General features: G+C 37.5%; 1 long non-coding RNA gene across 2 annotated transcripts in view; it reads left to right on the forward strand.

Annotated features, from left to right (window-relative positions):
- LOC105375760 (uncharacterized) overlaps positions 1-24,677 on the forward strand; it is a 257,327-nt gene extending 232,650 nt beyond the window's left edge. Inside the window, exons 4-6 of one of the 2 annotated variants that reach the window (XR_928653.3) lie at positions 17,717-17,915; positions 21,738-21,952; positions 23,276-24,677. This is a non-coding gene — a long non-coding RNA (uncharacterized LOC105375760). Of the gene's footprint in view, positions 1-17,716; positions 17,916-21,737; positions 22,068-23,275 lie in introns of those variants that run through there. The other variant, XR_007061183.1, reaches the window with a different exon arrangement.
- The last annotated feature ends 277 nt before the right edge of the window (positions 24,678-24,954 follow it).

Consider the following 24,954-nt stretch of genomic DNA (forward strand, 5'->3'; position numbering starts at 1 on the left):
CAAAGGGCTGGGATTACAGGTGTGAGCCACCGCACCCAGCTGCGCTCCGCTCTTTTTGTGCATTCCTTCCTTCTACCATGAGAGGAATGTGAGTTAGGCAGCTATCAGTTTTAAGGAGAAAGAGAGAGACATGAAGAGCAGCTCTATATCTACTCAGAGGTGGGATTGTCACACTTGTTGGATTGCTGTTATCAAAACAAACAAGCAAACAAACAAAAACAAAAGATGACAACTATTGTTGAGGATTCAGAGAAATTGGAACGCTTATACACTGTTGGTGGAACGTAAAATGGTGCAGCCATTATGGAAAACAGTAGGGAAGTTATACACACACATACACACACACAAAACAAAACAAACAAAAAAACAGAAATACCATATAATCCACCAATATCACTTTTGAGTATTTATTCAAAAGAATTAAAATCAGGATCTTGAAGAGACATTTGAACTCTCATGCTCATTGCACTACAATTATATGCATAAGTTGGAATGTTGTTCCACCTTAAAAAGAAGGAAACCTTGTCATATTTGGTAACGTGGGAGCACCTTGAGGACATTATCCTAAGTAAAATATTCCAGTCACAGAAAGGCGTATATGGCATGATATCACTTATATGAGTTATTTAAAATATTCAAATTCAGAGGAGAGAATCACGGAGTGAAATGTTTCCAGGGGCTGGGAGGAGGGGTAGATGGGGAGCTGATATTCCATGGATATAACGTTTTAGTTAAACATGATAAAATTAAGTTCTAGAGACTCGCTGTACAACATTGTGCCTACAGTCAACAATACTGTACTGTACACCTAAAACAATCTTAAAAGGATAGATCTCAGGTGAAGTGTTCGTATCACAATAAAAAAGAATAAATCAGAATTTTTTCTTTTAAAAACCCACAAAGGTTTTGAGAAACCCACATTTATCCTGACTAAAAGAAAAGAGACTGAGACAGAAACTGAGAGAGACTGACACTGTTGATATAAAAATAGCTCTGGTATCGTAACTTTCTACAAGGAAGAAGCAGGCTGAGAAATATGCTCACATACCAAAAGGATATATTCTTTAATTCCGTCTTCAGAAGCGACCAAGGAGGAGGATTTCTCACACAGTAAAACCATGAACCATGGAGAACAGTGGACTGAGGAGTCACTTCCAGAAATCACAAGGAGATCTAATCAAAGAACCAGGCACGGTTTGCCCAGTGAGATTTCAGCATTGCCCAGAACTGTTTACAGCTATGTACCTCCCATTCTCCTTGTGTTTGTTGTGGTTATCCTGTCCATGTCCCAATACTATGTGTCAAATGTAAGTAGGGCAAACACCTTGTCTTTTTATTCATTAGTCACTCTACCAAGAGATGGTGCAAAATGCGTTTAATGTATGATTCTGGATTTGAGTACGCCCTGATTCAATGAGGTTAGGAAGACATCTTAGGGTTGTATCAGTGTATTTTGTAGGTATAGATAATGTGAATATTTATCATTTTAGTGGATACCATGCTGCCCTACCCCCTCAGGCAGGACCACAGTACTCAGTTTCTTCCATAAGGACTGTTGCCTCCTGATGGCTCACAGCTGAGGCTCTTCCAAAAAATTACCATCAGCGTAGGGAAGCTGCCTCACCAAGTACACATCCCTTCCCCACTTAAGATAGCCGCATTGCTTCAACTAGAGACAAATCTAAAGAGTCATTTTAGGTCGGGCACAGTGGCTCATGCCTGTAATCCCAGCACTTTGGGAGGCCGAGGCGGGCTGAATACAAGGTCAGGAGATCAAGACCATCCTGGCTAACATGGTGAAACCCCATCTCTACTAAAAATACAAAAAAATAGCCAGGCATGGTGGCAGGCGCCTGTAGTCCCAGCTACTTGGGACGCTCAGGAGAATGGTGTGAACCGGGGAAGCAGAGCTTGCAGTGAGCAGAGATCGTGCCACTGCACTCCAGCCTGGCTGACAGAGCGAGACTCTGTCTCAAAAAAAAAAAAAAAAAAAAAAAAAAAAACGGTCATTTTAGACCCAGACTTCCCTACTGGATCAGCTGAAGTCTCATTTGAATTTCATCACCCTTCATCGTCTTTTTCTAACCCTACTTCCTTCATTCACATACATGTCATAACTGAGAGTACTGCTAACAAATTTCCTCTAAGAATAATGTCTATATTATGGTGAGTTGCCAGAAAACACAATCAAAGAAAGTTGGATCCAGGAGTGGTCTAAGAAAGCAGAATGTAGAATGAGATGTTAGATCTGGATCAGTCATCTACTGACTGACAATGAAGATCCAGTCACTAGTGGCAGGGGGAGTGTGGATAACCCTTGGCATGCTGGAGCAGTACAACTTGAAACATTTTTACAGCTGATGTACTGGGATAGAATAACTGTAGGAAGGAATGTTCTGGCAAGTGAATATATCTCAGGCACTTGAGAAGTTCAGTGGAAAGTGGAACACCTTGAATGGAAAGAGAAGTGGGTTGAACACACATCTTCATGGGTACTTGTGAATTGTTCAACTTGCTCATTAAGCACAAATTGGGAAAATCTTAGTATCACATTTGTATGCAACATAGAGAGTGTTTATCAGGCAGGAGGTATTAAATAACCAAGAAAAGAGGTAATGTGGCCAGCTAGACCAGCTAACACGGTGGACACCTGAGTGGAATAGCCATGGTGGCAGGCATAGAAGCCATTCATGGGGAACTGAGCATAGCTACCTTTTACTGTGGCTCATTTAGCTACTACTGCCACCCAGTATTCAACCTGCCAGCAACAAATACAAATGATGAGACTCCAGACGGCACCTTCTCTCAAGATGACCAATTAAATACTTGATGGAACGTTGATTACAATGGGAAAGGGAGGCGAGTAATTGTTTTTGTGTTTGTTTGTTTGTTTTTGAAACAGAGCAACCCCCTGTTGATCAGGCTGGAGTGCTGTGGCGTGATCTCAGCTTACTGCAGTCTCAATCTCTTGGGCTTAGGTGATCCTTCCACCTCAGACTCCCAAGTAGCAGGGACTGCAGGCATGTGCCACCATGCTAGGATAATTTTTGTACTTTTTGTGGAGATGGTGTTTCACCATATTACCCAAGCTGGGTGAATGATTTTGACTTGAATTTACACATATTCTGAGTATGAGTTCATATTTTCTCCCTTAAGGGCCTCAGTCAGCAAAATTTTCCAAGAACTTATAGATGGTTTGGTTCACTAGCATGTGAAGCTGCATAACACCACATTGGATCAAGGGTCCCCACCTTTAGCTCACCGAAGGTGAACATAGGTACATGTTTCACTGGCTACATCACATACTATACATCACCCCAAATCTATCAGCCTTATAAAGAGATGGCATAGCTAGGATGCTATCCTGGAGATACTACTCTGTGATGATGAAATACCACCCTCCAGGAAGGAGTGTAAACTTGCATCAACCATCATTATATGGTACTTCATCCCCAAAAGGTAAAGTATACATATTCATAAACCAAGAGGTGAAATAGGAGTGGCTCAGCACTTTGGGCCACATTAGACACTTTGGAAATGAGTATTTCCAGTCCTAGTCATTCTATGCTCTGTTAACACTAGAGATCATCATTCTCATTGGTTAATGCCTCTCTCTGGAGTACAATAAGAGCCGCCATGACACTTTATGCAGTGGCTGTGGCTTGATAAGTACAAGTCCCTGTGACAAGAGACAGTCAGGTAAAGAGTCATCATCCTGGCAGAAGTAATTGACCCGAGTCACCAGAAGGAGGTAGTTATGTTGCTAGACAATGGGGTAGGGACACATACATTTGTCATCTAATTGATTCACAGGTCCATCACATACCCAACTTTGATTGTAAATGGAGAAGCACAGCAGCCATGGCTTGAGGAAGATAAAATGACCATGAGCTCAGACTCCTCAGGAATGAGTGTCTGGTTGACTACAGCAGGTAAGTCACCTCAAACAGCAGAAGTGCTAGCAGATAATGTGGGAAGTCTAGAATTGGTAGCAGAAGAAAGAGATAAAAAAATAGTTGTTGCTGTACTAGACAAACTATTCACTTTTTTTTCTGTAAAATTTCTCAAGAATAAAGATAAACTAGTATTCTCAAGGATTTGTTCCCAGGTAAGCAAACTTACTGGAAGGAAATGGATGTGATTGATTCAACGGGTGCTGTTCTCCACTGCTCCAATTTTTTGAAACAGAACACTCCTAGCTTATAATTCGCAGCTAAGTCCCTCCACAGGACTCTTCCTCAGCCTAGGGAAGCTGCCCCATGTAAGTGTGCATTGCCTTTTTCCAGGGACAGCTCTAATCCAAATGGCTAGTCAGTTCAGTGGCACAAAAGTCTAGCCTCTATGCCTCACCTGGGTCAATTCAAACTTAAGTTTTCCTTATACTATGAGCTGAGGACTCTTTTGTAACATCATCGCAGTTTTCTCTTACATTCCAATACTGCTTCTGACTTCTCTCATAGGTTTTATTCCTGAGAGCACTCCCAACAAACTATTCACATCCATATCAATGTATGTATCAGACTTTTTCACAAGGAAAGAAGAGGGCAATTGTTAGAGATTTGTTATATCATCATTAGATGTTAGAGAATTGTTATATCATCATTCAGTAAATAATTACCTCTTCCTTGTTACTTTCTTGGAAGGAGTATATATTCTTACCCTATTGATGTTGGACTTGGTCAAGTGATTTACTTTGGCCAATGAATCTTTATGGGTGTGATATAAGCAAATGATTGAAATTTGTTTATATCTTTGCTCTGGGATGTTAATCTATGGGAAATCGGAAACACATGGGGTAGATCAAGACCTAATATGAGCTTGGAACCAAGCCTAGTTAAGTCTAGCTTAAATCAGCCAAACCCCAGATGAAACCACAGGTGCAAGAGCAAGAAAATATTATACTACACTGACTGTTGTGTTGCTTTGTTAAACAACATTATTTTACATACAGCTAACCAATACACTCATTGTTTCCAGTTTTCCCTCATTTTGGACATGGTAGGATAGTTGCTCCTGACCCTATCATGTTGGTTGAAACAATGTGACTAATTACAGCAATTGAGTTGAGAGAAGTCCATGCGTCAAGGATGGTATATGCGTTTGTCTGCTGTCCTGAAATCCTTTAGGATTTTCTCTTATCTTTGACACAGTGGTTGGCAACCTCCAAAATGATGGCTGTTTTACTAGCTTAGGTATCTCAGCAAATATAACTAAGAGAATCCCCTTCTGACTCATGATGGACAGGTACCATGACAAATAAACCTTTGCCATTTTAATCTCCTTGGATTGTGGGTGTTTTGTTATGGCAGAATAATCTAGACTATCCTGACTAATAAATTAAATGGATTAATAAATTAAATGGATGCTTCTGTGATCAGATGAGTGCATGACCCCATGAATAAATGAAGGACATGGCCCCTGACATACACTCACTGTTGTGGGAAAGACCAATTCATCATGATCCAGCTCACATTCCAAGTCCTTGAGAAAGCCTCAATATCCTGATGATGATGATGATGATGATGATGATGATGATGGTGATGATTGCTGCTGCTGCTGATGGTCATGGTGATGATGGTAATTATTATGTGATGGCTCAGAGTAATTACTGTCTTCTAGGAATAGTTCTAAGTGCTTTACATTTATTGACTGATTTTTCATAAAAAATCTCACAAATAAGTTATTAATTTCCCTATTTGCCAGAAGAAGAATCTGAAACACAGGAGAGTTATCTTAGTCTGTTTTGTGCTGCTATAACAAAATACCTGAGATTGGGAAATTCATAAAGCACATAATTTTTTTTCTCACCCTTCTGGAGGCTGTGAAGTTCAAGATCAAGGGACCAGCAGCTTCTGTTGTCTAATTAGGGCTACTCTCTGTTTCCAAGATGGTGCCTTGTTGCTGCATTTCATACACTGTGTCCTCATACAACAGAAAGAGTAAGGGCAAGCCAGTCAACTGCTGTATGAAACCTCTTTTATAAGGACCTTAATCTCATGAATAAGAGGAGGAGCCCTCATTATATAATCACCTCTTAGGGGCCCCACGTTTTAGTACCATCAAAATGGCCATTGCATTTTAACATCTGTTGGAAGGGGCACATTCAAACCATATGAGGGGTCAAGTAACTTACATGAAAGTCACACTGTTAATCTTTGACAGAGCCAATATTTGAGCTCAGGCTCTCTGATTTAGAGTCTGCATAGCTTATACATTTATTTCAGTCTCACAACCAAATTTTGCAGCAGATATTATTCCCAACTATAGAGGAGTCAATTGAGGCTTAGAGAAATTAAATTACTTGCCCTATTTCAAATAATTTGTATATAGCATTTGTATAGATTGCTGCATAACAAACTATTCCAAAACTTAGTGCTTAATTCAACAGTAATCAATTATTTCACTCATGAATCTGTCTATAATTAGAACTCACGGAACTCAAGTACTGTGATGGGCCTGACATTTTATCCTACTTGTAAGGTAACAAGATAGCCTGCTACAGCTTCACAGATGTTGTCAGAAGACATAAGCACCCCCTAGCATGGAGACAAAGGACTATACATAGCACAGAAATCAGCACGAGGTTTTATATTTACATTGGTTCCTTTCCCTCTCATGTCTCATGGTGTATTAGTCCATGCCCACACTCCTATAAAAAACTACCTTAGACTGGGTAATTTATAAATAAAAGAGGTTTAATTGACTTATAGTTCCACATGGCCGGGGAGGCCACAGGAAACTTACAATCATGGTGGAAAGCTAAGGGGAAGCCGGTAACTCTTCTCATGTCAGAACGGGAGAGAGCGCAAAAGGGGAAGCACCACTCACTTATCAAACAACCAGATCTCATGAGAACTCTATTAAGAGAATAGTGAGAGGGAAGTCTGCCCTCACGACTCAATCACTTCCCACCAGGTCCCTCCTGTGACAAGTGGGGATTACAATTTGAGGTGAGATTTGGGTGGGGACACAGAGCCAAACTATATCACACGGTGTTTATGTTGAGTGCTCCAGGATGATGTTATAAACACAGAGGGTTTGCATCACAGTGGAGGAACCTTGAACTTAAAAAACCTGGATCTTTTAAAAAAGGATGCACGTAAACATGCCCTCTGCTCTGCAGGGAGACTCTCTCTATCTTTCAAGGCTATTCACTATACAAACATGCTTTAAAAGTTCAGAACAAAATGGCAATTAGGGCATCACTTTCAAGATAAGCAGAAATGTGAAAGACCATGAAGAATTGTTGTAAAACACAGAGATCTTTCATCCCTACTCCACATGGAATTAAGTTGGGCCCCTTGACTGAGGGCTGGAGGATCCTTTGTCAAGGTGGTTCACTCACGTGACTGGCAAGTTGATGTTGATTATTGTCTGGGAACAGCAACTGCAGTGGAGCAGCAATTTAGCTTCCTCCAAAGTTTATCTCTGCATGGGTTGTTTGGGCTTACTCATGAATGCTGACTAGGTTGAGTTCTGGATTTAGAAATCATACAGCATCATTTCCACTGTACTCACAAGTCCATCCCTACTTAATGTCTTGATAGCAGGAGTACTAAAATCACAATGCAAGAGAAACATGCAGGATGGGAGATATTGTGGCCCTTTTTCTTTTGAAAATGCAATCTTCTGTAACATCTATTAATGTAATAGCCATGTGTTGAGCATCTATTACATTCCACACAGTATGCTAGTTGGTGAAGAATGACAAAATCACTGGTTAATGAGTTCCCCATTTAGTGGAGAAAAGAGAGGCCCAAAGAATTACAGTTAATACTAAATGGTGTGTTCAATAACAGATAAACATAGGTAACACAGGCACACAGTACAGGGATATGAGTCCAGTCTAAGAAGGAAGTCAATCATTCTGATTCTGAAACCAGCACTGGCCCTCAGTACTTAATTTATCATTACCTTTTTGTACTTACGACATCTCATGTTGCATTTACCTGGACATACGTCTTATTACCCATCAGATTATGAGCCAAACAATAATACCATTTCTTGAGCCATTATTTGTTTGACAGACAATATACTAAACATTTTATTCAGGATATATCATTTGTTCCCTTACAATAAACCCAAAGGGGCAGATAAAATTACACTATTTAAAAAATGAAGAATCAAGTTTCTAGAAAGAGAAGTTATTAAAACTTTTAAGTAGCAGACCTTGAATTAGTTCTCAAGTCTTTCAGTTTCCAACACTTATACCTACAACCACTACATTGTGCTGTGCTATGATGATCTTTATGTCACAATAACTAAAATATTAGTGCATAAATATCAGCATGTCCCTTTCCCTGTCCTTTAAAAGAAAGAGTTCTATTTTGCATTTATTGTATCTGTGCTTTATTATGAAATTGGTCAAGGTAATAGATGAAGCTGGGAGTCAAGAGAGGCTAGATTGGTTTGCATTGGAAAGGGCAGACTGTCACATACATATTAAAAGGAAAAGGAAATAGGAAGGAGAGCGTAGAGACTAACTACCAATATATGAGTTGTATTTAGAGAATTTTATAAAGTTTGAAGAGGAGAGTCAAAGAGTAATAGGAAAGATAATTTAGGTCATTTTACTGTGGTCTGAGCCATGTAACGTCTTCTTGATTTTTTTACAGAAAAATACCAGCAATATTCAATTGATTTCCAATTACTTTGGATGCCAAACTTGTTTCTTCTTACATCATTCAGAGGTGTAAAGTCCACAAAGCACCTCAGTTTTATTGGGGTTCTATTTGCTTCAGATCATTTCAGATCCAGAAACACCCACTAAGTTGCTTCTATGAACAAGTCACAGTGCTAGGTGCTGGGTATTACATAGACCTAAAGAAAACATGACTTTGTTAGTAACTTTACAGTTCTTTGAGGTGGAACCAATAATAAATAATTGTAGTGTATGCAATATTGAGGAAAACACAGGAGATTGTGAGGCCAGAGAGGATAGACACATATGACTATGTGCAGGTGGTGAGTGTGGGGTTGCTACAGAAAGGTCTAGTATGTTGCCTGATGCTTTCCATATTCAGAGCATTGATCATATCTAAATTGCTTTGAAATGGGAAGGAAGGTTAGAGGGAGACTTACCAAGTGAACTTGATATCAGAGAGCACCTTAAGCAAAAGGGAAGGTTTAGTTCATAATTTGCTCATTCCTACTGAGGAAATTAGGGCAAGTGTCTTATCCAAACTGATTCTGCAACCCAGCAACGGAGAGAGTCTAGCTGGGCAGGTTCATTAGGTTACATGCCAAGCGCATATTAATAAGCCTATCTCTGCAAAGCTTCCCATGGAAGTGAGCTTCCCACTATGCATTAAGAGGCAGGCCACACTATAGCTAAGTATGTGTCTGAACTGATTTGCTGTCTGGGATACTTTCTTGGGTAGCTCTTTAACATAACCCAACAATACTTTTAAACTTTGTTATGTGAATTCCAGACTCTTATTTAGTCTTTGGGATCACAGTTGTTTTGTTGATTGTTTTCTTCTTGAAGAATAGCCAACAGGCTTTATTCATTTTGTATCTCTGGAACTCTGTGTGGACACTGATACTGGTTTAGGGAATAAAAATGACGTTCCAATCTGTGAAGTGGGTATTTTCTTCACTACTGTTTCCATTGTATAAATGAGGGAGCAAAGTCTCAGAGAGGTCAGGCTCTTCAACTACAGGGTGAGTGTTGGTATTTTGGTTCAAATTCTGTGATCTTATAAAGTCCATATATTTTCTATAATTAAACTTTATCTCAATATGCTTCCTGAATTAGGCTAAATAAATAGTAGGTCTTTCAACTTTTTTATTTTCAATCAGTTGGCCCTGTTAGTTCACTTCTTAGCTATCTGATACAAAAACAAAATAATCAATTAAGATACGGACTATATCTGACATTGAATAACTCCATTACATGTTAAGTTAAAAAATTATTGTGTATGCAGGCATGTTAAACATGGCTACTTTTTTGTAAAATACAGTATGTGTGTATGTGTGTGTGGGTGTGTGTGCTTGAATTCCTGAAGGCTATATATAAAAAATGTTAGCAATGTTTACCTGTGAATGGCAGAATCACAGGTAACTTACCTTTCTTTTTATTTTTTTTTTCTGAATCATTTGTTTTTTGGAACAACTCCTATGTTTTACTTTTATAAACATATAAAACAGTAAAGTTATTTCCATCTTAGAAAGATAAATCTCTTGTACATATTTGATACTTTGTTATTTGGATTTCAGTGCTATAGAAAAGCCTGGGGATTAGGGAAAACTAACAAAGCTGGTTGAAATGAAACAAACAAAAGCTGAGTGAGGTTCCTAGTACCCCAGCTCTAATAGATCAGTGTTTGTGTCCACCTGTGTCCAGGTGTAATTTCTGATGAGCCCTGGTCTCTGGTTCAACATCTTGTTGCATTTGTGTAGTCTCTTACAGTTTACAAGGTCTCTGATCTTCTTTTTCAACAAACACACTCTGTATAAGCAAGAAGGTCAGGCATTGTTTTCTTTTCCTTCCCCATGTCCCCATTCTGCTGTATTTAGGCCAAGGAAGTAAAATTCAAAGAGGCTGTTACTTGCTAAGTCCTATACTGAGTTGAGTTATGGCATGAGGAGCAGTGCTGAGAGACAGACAATAAATATTATGAATCATCATAACTACTGTCTTTGCCATTTATTTTATCTTCCCCAGCTCCCCCAGGAGAACTAGATACTCCCACCTCTAACAAAAATTACACATACCTCCAACCCTAATATAGCATTTGCTTACATGCATCTCCTTGAGGGAAGACAGTATTTCAATTTCATACTGCTTATGTCAGAATCCGGCACACAGCAAGTTCCCAACACACAATTACTGAATAAATAAACAGCTTCTATCCTGGAGGCCCATCGTACAAAAGTAATTATGAAAAATAAAGAAAGAAAAGGACCCCTTTATTAATATTATGGAGTTCCAGGAGATGAGGGGGTGCAAGTTGGTCTCTGGACCCCCTCATAAACTCCAAATTATAGCAATTTCTACATCTGTCCTGGTATGCTGGAGCTGGCTCTTATCACCTCACAGAGCTGATAACTAAAATTTTGAAGACTTCCGTGAGCCATTTGACTCACACTGGTAACTTGAAATTGACCATAGTGGAAGTACTTACACTGCAGGAACTGGCAAATGGTACAAATCAGGATTTTTTGTTGTTGTTAGTTCCTGGACCAAGGGCTTCAGTGCTGTCTTTGTCTCCTCATGCCATAAACCTCATGCCACTTTCATGGAAAACTGACACACCAGGAGTATTGGGAAGGCAAGGCAGAGTTAGGGGGAAGTGACTTGTTCTAGCTTACTCCATGACTTCAATAGGGCAAAAAGAGGATTTTAACCCTCAATTCCTTCGCCAGTATTTTTTCTTCAACACCACCATATTAGAAGGGCTTAGACAGGCCAGGCATGGTGGCTCACACCTGTAATCCCAGCACTGTGGGAGGCTGAGGTGGGTGGATCACCTGAGGTCAGGAGTTTGATACCAGCCTGGCCAACATGGTGGAACCCCATCTCTACTAAAAATTCAAAAATTAGCCAGGTGTGGTGTTGTGTGCCTGCAGTCCCAGCTAATTGGGAGTCTGAGGCAGGAGATTCGCTTAAATCTGGGAGGCAGAGGTTGTAGTGAGCTAAGATCACACCACTGCACTCCAGCCTGGGTGAGAGAACAACACTCCATCTCAAAAGAAAAACAAAAACAAAACAAAGAAGAGCTTAGACACTCTTCAATAAAGGCCAACTTCTTCCCCTGCTTGAGTGGATGTTACCCTCTGGGGTAACATTATCTTAACAGGAATGAATGCTTCCACCCTGACCTCTGCCAGGGAGCTGAGGTAGCCACAAAAGAGCTGACTGCTTTGAGGAACATGAGGAAGATGACAATGATAGTGCTGATGGCAGTGTTTATTATGTGCTGGGCCCCATGCTAGGTGTGTCCATGTACGATGTAATTTAATTCTCATAGCAACACTACAATAACAATAATGACTAGTATCTGTTCATTAGTATTTTACATGCTAGTTTTTATGTCAAACTCTACAGGTGACAAGCAATCTCTGCCCTGTTAGATCCCATAGTCTAGGTGCAGTTAATCACAGAACATCACAGTCTGCTCAGCCTATACCTAAGCAATAATAACAAGAAAAACAAAAAGAGTAAACGGTTGCTTATTATTTACCAGATGTTGTTCCAGGCATTTTACATGTATTATCTCATTTAACCTTTCCCTATGGGTGAGCTATCATTATTATTCCCATTTTAGAGATAAGAAAAATGAGACACAGAAAGACTAAGACTGCATTTTTCACCACTATACTTTGCTATTCATAAAACAGAAATCCTTGTTTTGTAAATAAAGAAACTGAGATACAAAAAAATAAAGTAAGTTTCCTCAAAGCCACACAGCTAAAAGTGACAGAGATGGGATTTAGCCCAGGACTCTGGTTTCAGAGAAGGGATTCTCTTAATAGTATTTATGATGGAGCCGATGATGGTGACAGAGAAAATCATGCCATCCCTCTAGTAACAAGGGCTCCTCATGTGGAAATAGTCTCAGATGAGTCAGATATTATTAATTACTTCTCACAGACAATAAGTCAAGTCCCATAGTCAGAGTCATAAAGCCAGTTATGTAGAGTCAGAGACCCCAGCCCCAACCTCAGAACTGTCTTCACATCCTTGTGCCCTTTTCTGCTTTCCCATGAACTGTCCTCTCAGGAGGATGCCTGTCACAGACCCTTGGATTACTGGTCTGCTTGATAGCATTTCTTGAATATAAACTGGCCAGGATGTAGGAGTCTCAAATTAGGGGCCATGGTTTCTTGTCATTTCTGGTTTGATCTTAGGCCTGCCTGTTCCCTTCCTGGATTTCCATTTTCTGAAGGTAAAATGATGTGCATTGGGGAACAGACCTAATGATCCCAAAGGTGCTTTTTAAAGTTGATATTACCTTCTAAGTTTAGCTGGGAAAATAAGAGTTTTCTGAGAAAGAGTCATACTCTATAGCTTTGGATGGGAAAGTGCCTTATGACATGAGATGTGGGAGAATTAAGAAATCAGCCAAGCATCACTGAGTAGGCTGTGAATGGAAGAATGCTGGCAGATCTTCAGGGACACAGTAATTAAGCAGAAGCAGATGAAAGTTCTAAAAGAGACATCAACAAAAACTAGTGCTGTGGCTGGGTGCAGTGGCTCATGCCTGTAATCCCAGCACTTTGGGAAGCCGAGGCAATGGATCACCTGAGATCAGGAGTTCGAGACCAACCTGGCCAACATGGTGAAACCCTGTCTCTACTAAAAATACAAACATTAGATGGGCGTGGTGGCAGGCACCTGTAATCCCAGCTACTCGGGAGGCTGAGGCAGCAGAATCACTTGAATCCAGGAGGCAGAGGTTGCAGTAAGCCAAGATTGCGCCACTGCACTCCAGCCTGGATGACGTGTGAAACTCCGTCTCAAAACAAACAAACAAACAAACAAACAAACAAACATTAGTGCTGTGCCTGATAGCCTCTAAGAGACCTGCTCAAAGATTTGTAGATAAGGGAAACGTGCCTAGAGCCTAGGAGATAGAGAATTACTATAGGGCAATTAATGTGAAAGAAAACATTAAATAAGACTACAGTAGTACAATGAAGTGATATTGGAGAACATTAAAATCACAGACTCCTTCTTTCACAAAGTTTTATCAATTGTGAGGAACAAGTGAGAGTTTAGGAAAACCCTCATGGCCTTTGCTGAACCCTCATCCCAGTAACGGAGACAGAACTTCAGAGTTCTCCAGCTGTTTTGTTTTCCAGTTTACAGTACAGTGGAACTACTGCTTTAGAATTTGGCATCACTTGTTGGGGATATGAGTGGCAGTGCCTGAGAATTAATCTAATACAGAGAAAAAAGTTAGAGCTGAGAAATCCATTAAGATGTAAAGCATCATTTGAGGTCCTGGACATAGCTATTCTTAAAGCCGTACTTCCTCTTATAGGGCTAGTCAATACCTCTCATTTCTATTATGCCTTAAGTCTCTTGGGTTATTTACCTTTTATTTGCAAGAAGAAGAGTCCTGGCACCTAATACAAACTAATAATTTTATGTACATATCTATACATGCATGTGTACATTGAAAAAGTCTAGAAAAAATAGCACCCCCACAAAACAAACACTGCATTACCTAAATCTTGATTTCTCAATACTATCACCCAACAACAAAAAAAAGCCAGAGATCCTTACAGGAATGGCTGATTCTAGGTTTGAGGTGGAAAAGTACAAGGTAAACTAGATTTTTTTTTTTTTTTTTTTTTTTTTGCCAGAAATCAAGAAAGAACTCAAAGACTGATGAGTTGCATCCAGCACACACAGGAGCAGAGGGAAGGGGTTCCCACTGGCTAATTTTTGGAAATGTAAGCACAAAAAAAAGATTATAATTTATTGTAGTGCATTTAATTTTTTATAATTTATAAATGTATAATATGAGAGAGGTGGAGTAAGGGAGAGAGAAACAAAAGGGTAAAAAAAAAAACAAAAAAAACCTGTCCTATACAGAAGAATGTCAGCTTACATATGTAGAAGAGATTACAGAATTAGAAAAACAAGTCATTTTAATTAATTTAAGCAATGATCATCAATGGAATTATGACCTGTTTCTACTCACAAAACTTTTTATATCAAATGTGTGGGTTTTTCCACACCAACAACCCTTCTCTAACCTCTCAGCACTAAGTGGGTGTTCAATAATTCAATACAGTTCCTACACCAACTACCTAGAGTTAGCGTCAAGCCTCATAGGTGAAAGCCTCAGTCTCTCAAGACTGCTCCTATTTCAAACGCCAAGAGTGAGTCCTGGGGACTCTCCTGCTTCTGACTGACTAGCTGTAAATCTAGGGTTCCCACAATTCTCTCCTTGGTTTTGATAATTTGCTAGAGCACCTCACATAACTCAGGAAGTTACTTCATTTTTATTTGCTAGTTTATTATAAAGAAACAGCCAAATGAAACAGAAGCATAGGAGAAGGGAAGGGAGAATGCAATATCACAGAAATAAAAAATCATTAAATAAAAAGTTGTAGGGGAAACAGATATTCCATGATGCCAAAAGACCCCTACCTCCTTTGCCACCCCAGGAAATCTCGTAGATAATAGCAAAAAGAAATGTGTACCTTTCCATGCAAACATCAGGTTGACCATCATCTTAACCAAATGATCAAACTTTGCCTTATCAACAGTTGGAAAACTTGATTTTGTTTTTCTCCTTTTATGCTGTAAAATGACCTTGCCAAAAATGTTTAACGTGGATCTAAGCAAGCCTTTAGAACCAATGCTCAGTTTCTAGAAAAAGTAGATGGGAAAAAATGGGTAAGTATACCATAAGAAAATTCAATAAATATAAATTAATAGAGATGTGGAGTTTTTTTTACAAAACCATTGGCCTAGACTCTTCCAGAAGTCAATATTAACTGGGGGAGAAAAGAAAAAATAAAAGATGGCAGATTTGTTTTAGATAGAAGAATTCGAAGAAACGTAATGATGAAAGATAATGCATAAAACTTTGAGTGGATATTGATTTTAAATTTTAAACAAATATAGAAAGAGTCTAAAGATAATTGAGAAATTATGACTGTGGGCTATTAGTCAAAATTATGAATACTTGTTAATTTATTTGTGTGCGAAAGGCATTGCAGCTTTATAGAAGAATGTCTTTATTCTTAGCAGAGGTATCCAAAGTGTTCAGAAGGAAAAGATCATGATATCAGCAACTTACTTTCATATGGATCAGAAAAATATGAATATAAGCCCTTTATTATTTATAAATATAGAGAGATAAAGCAACTATGATGAAATGTTAACAACTTTTGACAATTCTCGGAAGGTATACAGGTGTTCTTTGTGTAAGTCCAAGGGTTGGCAAACTTTTTCTGTAGAAGCCACTTTACATATATATAGTAATTTACACTAAAAAATATAGTAAATAACAAACTTCTTATGCTTTGTGTACCAGAAGGTCTCTGCCATAGCTAGTCAACACTGCCCTTACAGTATTAAAGCAGACATTGACAATGCATTTAAGAATGCACATGGCTGGATTTGGCTCTCAGGCATAGTTTACCAATCCCTGTACAATAAATCCCCTTTATCCATGGGAAATACATTCTAAGACCACCCCCCATAGATGCCTGAAACTATGGATAGTATCAAAACCTCTATGTAGTATGTTTTTTCCTAAGCATACATACCTATGATAAAGTTTAATTATAAATTAGGCACAGTAAGAGATGAACAACAATAGCTAATAATGAAAGAGAATGATTGGAACAGTATACTGTAGTAAAACATGTGAATGTGGTCTCTCAAAATTTCTAATTGTACTGTATTCACCATTCTTGTGATGATGTGAGATGATAAAATGCCTAATGATGAGATGAAGTGGGATAAATGACATAGGCATTGGAGTGAGGCATTAGGCTACCACTGACCTTCTGAAGATATGTCAGAAGGAGGATCATTTGCTTCAGGTGATCCTGGATCACTGACCCATGATGAAGTTGATGGTGGTATTTCAGGAGCAGACCATGTAGATGACTAATGGGTGGGTAGTGTATGTAGAGTAGATACACTGGACAAAGAAATGATTCATGACCCAGGCAGGGTGGATTTCATCACAAAATAGCTTACAGTTTAATACTTAGAAATTGTTTATTTTCAGACTGAGGTTGACGGAGGGTAACTGAAATCTTGGAAAGTGAAACTGGGGATAAGGGTGACTAATGCACTACTCCTTTAACTCTGTATGTGATTGTAAATTCTCATCATATAAAGTGTGGGGAGAAAAGAGAGACTTGGTGTTGATCATCATAATGCATATCTTTTGGTGTTGATCATCATAATGCATATCAATGAGGAAGTATTCAATATGCACAATGGAGTGGTGATGGACAAGGGTTGGCGAGAGGGCACCTCATAGTCTCTGCTAAGGGCATGGGGCTTTGTGGGTGAGTAACACTGAGCCAGCAAAAGCATTCTTTACTCTCCTTACAATTGCTTGTTTCAAGAGCTTGAGCTCCAAATCACTGTGCTATTTCACATTTGGTCTTTTTTTATTTTCCTCAGGTTTTTAAAATGTATTATTGTTGTTTCCTGTTTGCCTCCAAATGCTACTTGTGTATATTTAATACAACTCAAAAATCTCTAGATTTACTCAAATCTATCTATCTTTATTGATCTTGCAGTTAGTGACTGTATAAAACAGAAAGGCCTAGAACCAATTGCAGACAATTATTTTATTTCTAATGCCCTTATCTTGATGTTCAGTTCTTTAGCAAGACTTATCTACTTTGACAGCTGGGCACTCTGGGACTTCATTCTGCCAAACGTCAAGTAGATGTGAGGCTATTAAGGGAGTTTGCTGGTTTGGAAAATTGAGCACTGAAAGTTCTCAGGTAAATAGGGAGGAAGTGCTAAAATGCTGCTTCTTCAGCTTCAGTCTGCTTTTGGCAAGCATTTTATCCAAGTTAACATTAGAAAGAGAGGTTGGGGTTCTTCTGTTTAGTCAAGCTTTGTTTTCAAGGATCTGCATGTACCTCTACTTGGACAACACCTCAACCTGTGCTCTTTCTAGAGTACTGACAGTCTTATCAGACAAACAGTCTGTTCAGAGTCAATCAACCTTATCTGGCAATTAGGCTGAAGATAAGCTATTCCTCTTTTTTGCATTCGCAGATAAAATCATGCTTCCCGTTCAAGAGGTTCACTCTGGGTATAGACGGCATTTCTGAAAACATGGCATTGACTGACATTATTGACAGTGGACTGGGAATGGAAAGATCAGAGTTCTTTGCATGGCTGAGCATCTTACTTTTCCTTGATCTTGGGAAGGAAGGCGCCTTCTCTGATGGAGATTATCTGTCAGTGAAACTAGGTGGGTAGACCTGGAAACTTCCAGCTCCCACCTCCTATTTAACTACAAATCTATATACGTGTTCATTTTTCCACTTTATTTTATTTTCTAGTCATGAAGGCAATTTTATGTTTCAAAATAAGAATCCATTTCCAGAGAAAGAATTTGTTAATTCAACTGTGCAGTTTAAAAGATGAGGAAAATAGTGAGTAAAGAAAATACACATGCATGTGTGTACCTGCAGGCTTCCAGTACAATACTTTCTCAGAACAAATGTGTCAGAACTTGAAAGAAAATGTTATTAAATTGCCATGTCATTGTCATGCTCAACATTCTTTCTCAAAAGGAGAGAAAGTAACCATTGTTACTTATTTAATCTGTAGTATATTCTCAAAATTCTAACCCTAATGTGTAATAGGTGTATATATCATAATTGACCTTTGTGTGTGATTTTTTTGCTGTTCGTTCTCCTGCTCCACTTTAAGCTGAGTACAGGTAGGCAAGGAATCTCTCGAACACCATTGTATCTCTAGTGCTCTGCAGTTTCAAGTGCATGTGCTCAATAACTATATGTTGAATCAAATACAATTGAATTAAATAGAGAAATAGAGTCTGTGGAATCAGGTTTTATACCTAGACTATGCAACTAGTGTTTGAAGTTAAGTGTGCCAGACGTTAGCCTGTGTTCATTCCACTAAATTGTTTTGCCTTGTAAGATTATTATTTAGCACAGCCAAATAAGTGAACTTGAGGCACTTTACAGACAGAAAAGCTCTGGTTGACCTCCCCTCCCCTCACCAAGAAGCCCATTTTAAATCTAGCTGACACCAACAATTCTACCATGGTATGATGATTTTATCCTATGAGTGTAAGGTTCTGATTAACATGAAAAATGCTAATAACCTTGGAAGATCTCACATGCATATTATCAGATATCTATCCTTTTATTTAAATAAAACATCTTATTCCAGCAGCACATGTTCTTTTTAGAGTTTAAATACCAATCACTATGGAGAAACAGATGGAGGAATGAAAACCAGGAATAAGGGGGAATTAAGAAATGTAAAACAATCTGACACAGTTCTCACAGTGACAGCACTTTCATTTTCTCTCTCAGCACCCTGCTTCTGGTGTCACTGGTATCCAAGTCATTAGCTGGTAAAGCTTAGCACCTCATCGAGGTGTCTGCATTATTTCACTCTTCAAGACAGAAAAGTTGTCAAGACCAAAGGAAAATAAACCTCCGTTAGGAAAAAGAGGATTGCTATTTTGGGATTTGGGGTTCTACCCAGCAACACCCAAGATACCACCTTTTTTACCATGGCAATGAGATCATTACAAGTACACATACAAATGCTTATGTGAAATTAAATTATTTAGAATAAAAAGAAATATGATTTCAGCAGAAAGCATTTATGTGAAGACATATGTCTTATTTGGCTCATTTGATTCTTTGAAATTGTTTCTTTTAAGGCAAGGAGAATGAAAAAATCTCTATAATTCTACAAACATAAAATTATGTGACTCAGTGATTCAGTTTCATACTGAGTATATTGCTAGCCAAAATATAAAAGCCTTTTTATTATTATTTTACTCTTTTAAAAGGAGTTGTTCCCAAATGACATGAATTCACATTGTGGCATAGAGAGTTAGCAAAACTCTAGAGGTGCTCAATCATTAACTAGATCATTATTTGGCAAATACATTATAGAGGCCAGTCCTGCAAAACATACGGTGGTTTTCAAAGTGTCGTCTGTGGTTCATACACATGAAAATCACCTAGGCTGCTCGTTAAAAAGTAGTAACTAAAATCTCTAGTGATGAATTTTAGTAATTTGCATTTTAAACAATTTAACGGGAATTCTTTTGTAGTCTGAACCTAAGAAGTACTAACAAAGAGAACTGGATCTAATATCATAAAGTCCAATTTAAGACCCTATTTTCTCTTCCTTTATGTTAGTTTTTAAAAGCATTCTCTTTGCTCAAAAGAAAACGGATGAGATAGTAGATCATCTAGAGTTCCTGAGTTAGAAGCACCAGAAACAAATTCTGCTAAAAAATGATAACAGAATAAAGGGAAAATAGTACAAAATCTAGCCTTTGGAAACACATGACCTGCAGTCACTCTTATGAACTTGGGCAGTATGGGCTATCTTTTGAGGACATTGTTGCTGGGATAATTCATTTCTAGTTAATTTCAGTTTCCTAGATTAAAATTCAAAAGTTTTAGAGAAAAAGGTATTCATGTTGGAAAGTAAAAAGTAAAACTATCTCTATTCACAGATAAGATGATATATATGTGTATGTGTGTATACATGTATATACATGTGTTATACACACACACACACACACACATATATATATATATATATATAATCCGCAAGAATGCTACTAGAGCTAATAAAGAAGTAAGCAAAGCTGCAGGGCACAGGACCCACACACAAAATAATTTTGTTTCTGTATACCACCAATGAACAATCCAAAAAGAAAATTTAAAAAGTAATTTTTAATTTTACAATACAATCTTTAAAATTTTAAAGATTATTTAAATTTAGATTTATTTAGGAATACATTTAAACAGAGAAGTGAAAAATCTTGTACACTGAAAACTGTAAAACATTGTTGGAAGAAATTAAGGAAGATCTTAAGAAATGGAAAGACATCCCACATTCATGGATAGGAAGACTTAACATTGTTAAGATGTGAATATTATTCAAAGCAATCTGTAGTTTTGACACAATTTCTATCAGAATTCCTGCAGCTTTTTCCACCAGGATTCATAGCAGCATTATTCACAATAGCCCAAAGGTAGAAACTACCCAAGTGTTCATCAACAAATAAATAGATAAACAAAATGTGCTATATACACACTATGGAATATTATTCAGCCATAAGAAGAAATAGCATTTTTATATAGGTTACAACATGCATGAACCCTGAAAACATTGTGCTAAGTGAAATAAGCTAGATGCAAAAGGATGAATGTTGTATGATTCCACTTATATAAGGTGGAATAGACAAATTTCATAGAGACAAAGTAGAATAGAGGTTACCAGGATCTGGAGACAGTCAGGAATGCAGAGTTATTGTTTAATGAAGAAAGGGTTTATGTTAGGGATGATTAACATGTTTTGATTATAGATAGTGGCAATGGTTACCCAACACTGTAAATGTATTTAATACCACTAAATCAAACACTTATAAATAGTTAACATGATAAATATGTTATACATATTTTACCACAGTAAAAAAAGAAAGGGAAAATGCCTTAAGATAAAGAGTGCTAGCATTAGCTTAGACTTGGATCCTATCTATGACCACTCCTTGCCTGGGAATAGCGTTTGTAGGGTGGGAGTTAGGATTTGGGGATGGGAGTAAATTTGATGGGTGGCCCCATCCAGGCTGCCAAAATGGTGAAAAAATGTTTCCCCAAAGAAAAATCAAGAGGAAAGTGAGGAAACAAAAGCAAATGTTTACTGCAGAGATATTTGAATGGAGATTACTTCTTAGTATCCACACACTACTAATCTCTTAAATTCTCAACTGCATTAACAGAAGAATGATTCAGCTGACCCCAGCAAACGTAATTTATATTTGCTGATTTAAAATATCACTTGCCCTTGACAATTTGACACGTGCCTCGTTCAGTCACCTAGAGTGAGGGACTTCTTACAGAAGGAATAAAAACCTGCTGTCCCCAAAATGAGTGATTTCTGAAAATTTTTATTTGAATTTGTTTAATGGAAACAGACACTATCCAGTACACTTTAGGCCTCACAACCCCTCTAAGATCTTATACTTGACCCAACTCACTCATTGGTGTGATCTACTTGTTCTACGTAGATTTTTAAGTTGCAGCCCTGGGCTTATGGTGAATTGGCAAGCACGTGTGAGAAAGATCATGTTGTCTTAAGCAACTTTGATTCCAAGAGAAGAAGAGTAATATGAGTACTCCAGTCCAGTCACCTGATGAGAGATTCCTGAAGGGAGAACTTGCATCTTCAAAGCGTTGGAGGTAGAAGGAAGACAGGCAGAAGGACATCCCAGAATCAACCCAGGTACTGTCCTCTGCCTGTAACACTTTCCACATCTTCTCTCAGCTCTTTTCTCACTTATTTTCTTCATAGCACTTATTACTCCTTTCAATGGTATGTATTTATTTCATTACTGTTTTTTTTCCTCACGTAGGATGTGCCTAGAATAAGAGGAGTTTTTTTTCCACTGCTCTACTTGAAGTATCTAATACAGTTTAGGCATACTTAGGACAAAATAGGTGGACTATAAATATTTGGTGAAAGAATAAATTCAAATCCGTATTCTTAAAAGTCAACTTTCTTAAACTACCTCCAACACCTCCCTCCTCCACAAAATGAAAAATATGTTACAGTCAGAGGGTTTCATATGGCACTATCTACTGCCTTCTATTATAGCAGATGAACAGATACAACAATAAATGTTATGTTTGTTCACTTAGATGTTTTTTCACTGAATTCTCAACTCTTCAAAAACAGGGAGTGTGCAAACTCAGTGAATATTTATGGAAGGGATGAAATAAAGCATGATTTGGGAGGTGAACTCTAAGGGTAAACAATGAAAAATAAACTTCAGGTAGAATGTAATGCTTTTCTTCTCTTACTATCCATCAAATTCAAGAAAGTACATTGGTCCTGATTTGTTGCCCTAGTTATTTAAGCTTTTTGCTTCCAGCAGAGGATATCTAGATTAAAAGATAAAGGTTGAGATAAAGATGGATTGTAGAATGCCAAAAATAATTGTTATTGTCTTTTGAACAGTTCCAGTATAGTAGGATCTAAATTAATCCTGGATTACTAATATTTATTGTCAATCATATGAGAGATAACACAAAGGCCATATTAAAATTTTTGATCTTTAAAATCTTGCCTCCAAAGTTCAAGTAAGTTCAAGAATATATGGATAAAAGAAACACAAGCACATTTTTTAAAATGTTATTAAGAAAGCTGACTTTTCCCTAAGTTTCAAGAGGAATAAATTTAGCATTTAGAAAATATAGAAAATAAATGTGTATGTATTCATCAACATATATATGTGTATAGAGTTTAATATTTTCCACATTAATATTTATACATTTTAACATATTTATTCTAATATATTTAGTATTAAACTCCTGTTTTCTTATTTTATTAAATATTCTTTAAAATTACAATTACTGTTTATTATTTCAATATTTGCATTATTCATTTATTCAGTCCCTTATTGTAGGGCTTTTATATCCTAATAGACTGCAAGAATTGTCCAGTAATCTCTACTCTTATCCGTATTCCCACCATTTTTCAATGCGACTTTGAAGCTTCTCTTATCAAAAGATGCAAACTATTTCCCCACTGGTCTTTGATTAACAGAATGTGGTGGAAGTGACTGCATCAACCCTGAGCCGACACACCCAGAAGCCTTGCAGACTTCTACTTCCTGCCTTGGAATCCTGACAAGCCACTACTTAAGCAAATGTGAGCTACCCTTTTAGTGGTGGTTACATGGGATTAGATGAGATACATGGGGCCCGGATTCCTGATTGCCCCACTTGACAGCTGAGAAACACCTGGGAGCAGGGCTGCCCAGCTAACATCTGCTGACTGCAGATGAATGAACAAGCCCAGCCAGATAGAGAAGAAACAGTCAGCTGGGCCATAAACAATGTTTTGTAATAATCGTTTATTTATATGGTTTACATTTTGTTTAACTCTCATTTTTTAATGGGAATAGGACTTTTTTATTGTGGTAAAATGTACATAATGAAAATTTACCATTTTAACTATTTTAGCTGTACAATTCAGTGGCATTCAATGTTGTGCAATGCTCACAACTACTTCCAACTTTTTTCATTATTCCAAACAGAAACTCTATGCCATTAAGCAATAACTTTTGATTCTTCCCATCCCCAGCTCTTGGTAATCTCGATTCTACTTTCTGCCTATATGAATTTGCCTATTTTAGACACCCCACATAAGTAGAATCATACAATATTTGTTCTTTTGTATTTGACTTACTTTACTTGGCATATTTTCAAGGTTCATCATGTTGTATTATGTATTAGACTTTTATTTCTACTTATGGCCGAATATCATCCTGTGGTAGATAGATAGATATAAAATATGGTAAATATATGTATATATATTATTTATCTCTTCATTTGTTAATGGACACTTGAGTTGTTTCTACCTTTTGACTACTGTGAATAACACTGCTATGAACACTGGTATAGAACTACCTGAGTGAGTGTCTGCTCAATTACTCTGGGTATATACCTAGACGTTGAATTGCTGGGTCAAATAGTTATTCTATGTTGAACATTTTGAAGATTGCCAAAATTTTCCAGAGTGACTGCATCATTTTATATTCTCACCAGCAGTTCACAAAGATAACATTTTCTCCACATCCTTGCCAACACTTGTAATTTTCTATTTGTTTGATAATAGTCATGCTAGTGAGTGTGAAGTGGTGATATCTCACTGTGGCTTTGATTTGCATTTTCCCAATGACTAATGATGTTGAACATTTTCTTTTTCATGTGGTTATTGATCATTTGTATATCTTCTTTGGAAAAACTGTCTATTCAAGTCTTTTGCTCACTTTTTGAGTCATTTCTTTTGTTATTGAGTCATAGGAGTTCCTTACATATTCTGGATATGAATTTCTTTTCAGATATATGTTTTAAAAATATTTTCTGTCATTTTGTTGGTTTTCTTGATAGTGTTCTATCATTACCAAGTGTCAATGCTAATTAAAAAAAAATTTGATGAAGTCTAATTTATTCATTTTTAAATTACTTGTAGTTTTATTACCATACTTAGAGACCATTACCAAATCTAAGGTCATGACAATTTTTTCTTATGCTTTCTTTTAAAAATATTTTAGTTTTTATCTGACAAAGGGCTAATATCTGACAAAGAGCTAATATCTGACGAAGGGCTAATATCCAGAATCTACAATGAACTCAAACAAATTTACAAGAAAGAAACAAACAACCCCATCAAAAAGTGGGTGAAGGACATGAACAGACACTTCTCAAAAGAAGACATTT

This window comes from Homo sapiens, chromosome 8 (assembly GCF_000001405.40).
Source record: "Homo sapiens chromosome 8, GRCh38.p14 Primary Assembly".
In the NCBI taxonomy this organism is placed as follows: domain Eukaryota; kingdom Metazoa; phylum Chordata; class Mammalia; order Primates; family Hominidae; genus Homo; species Homo sapiens.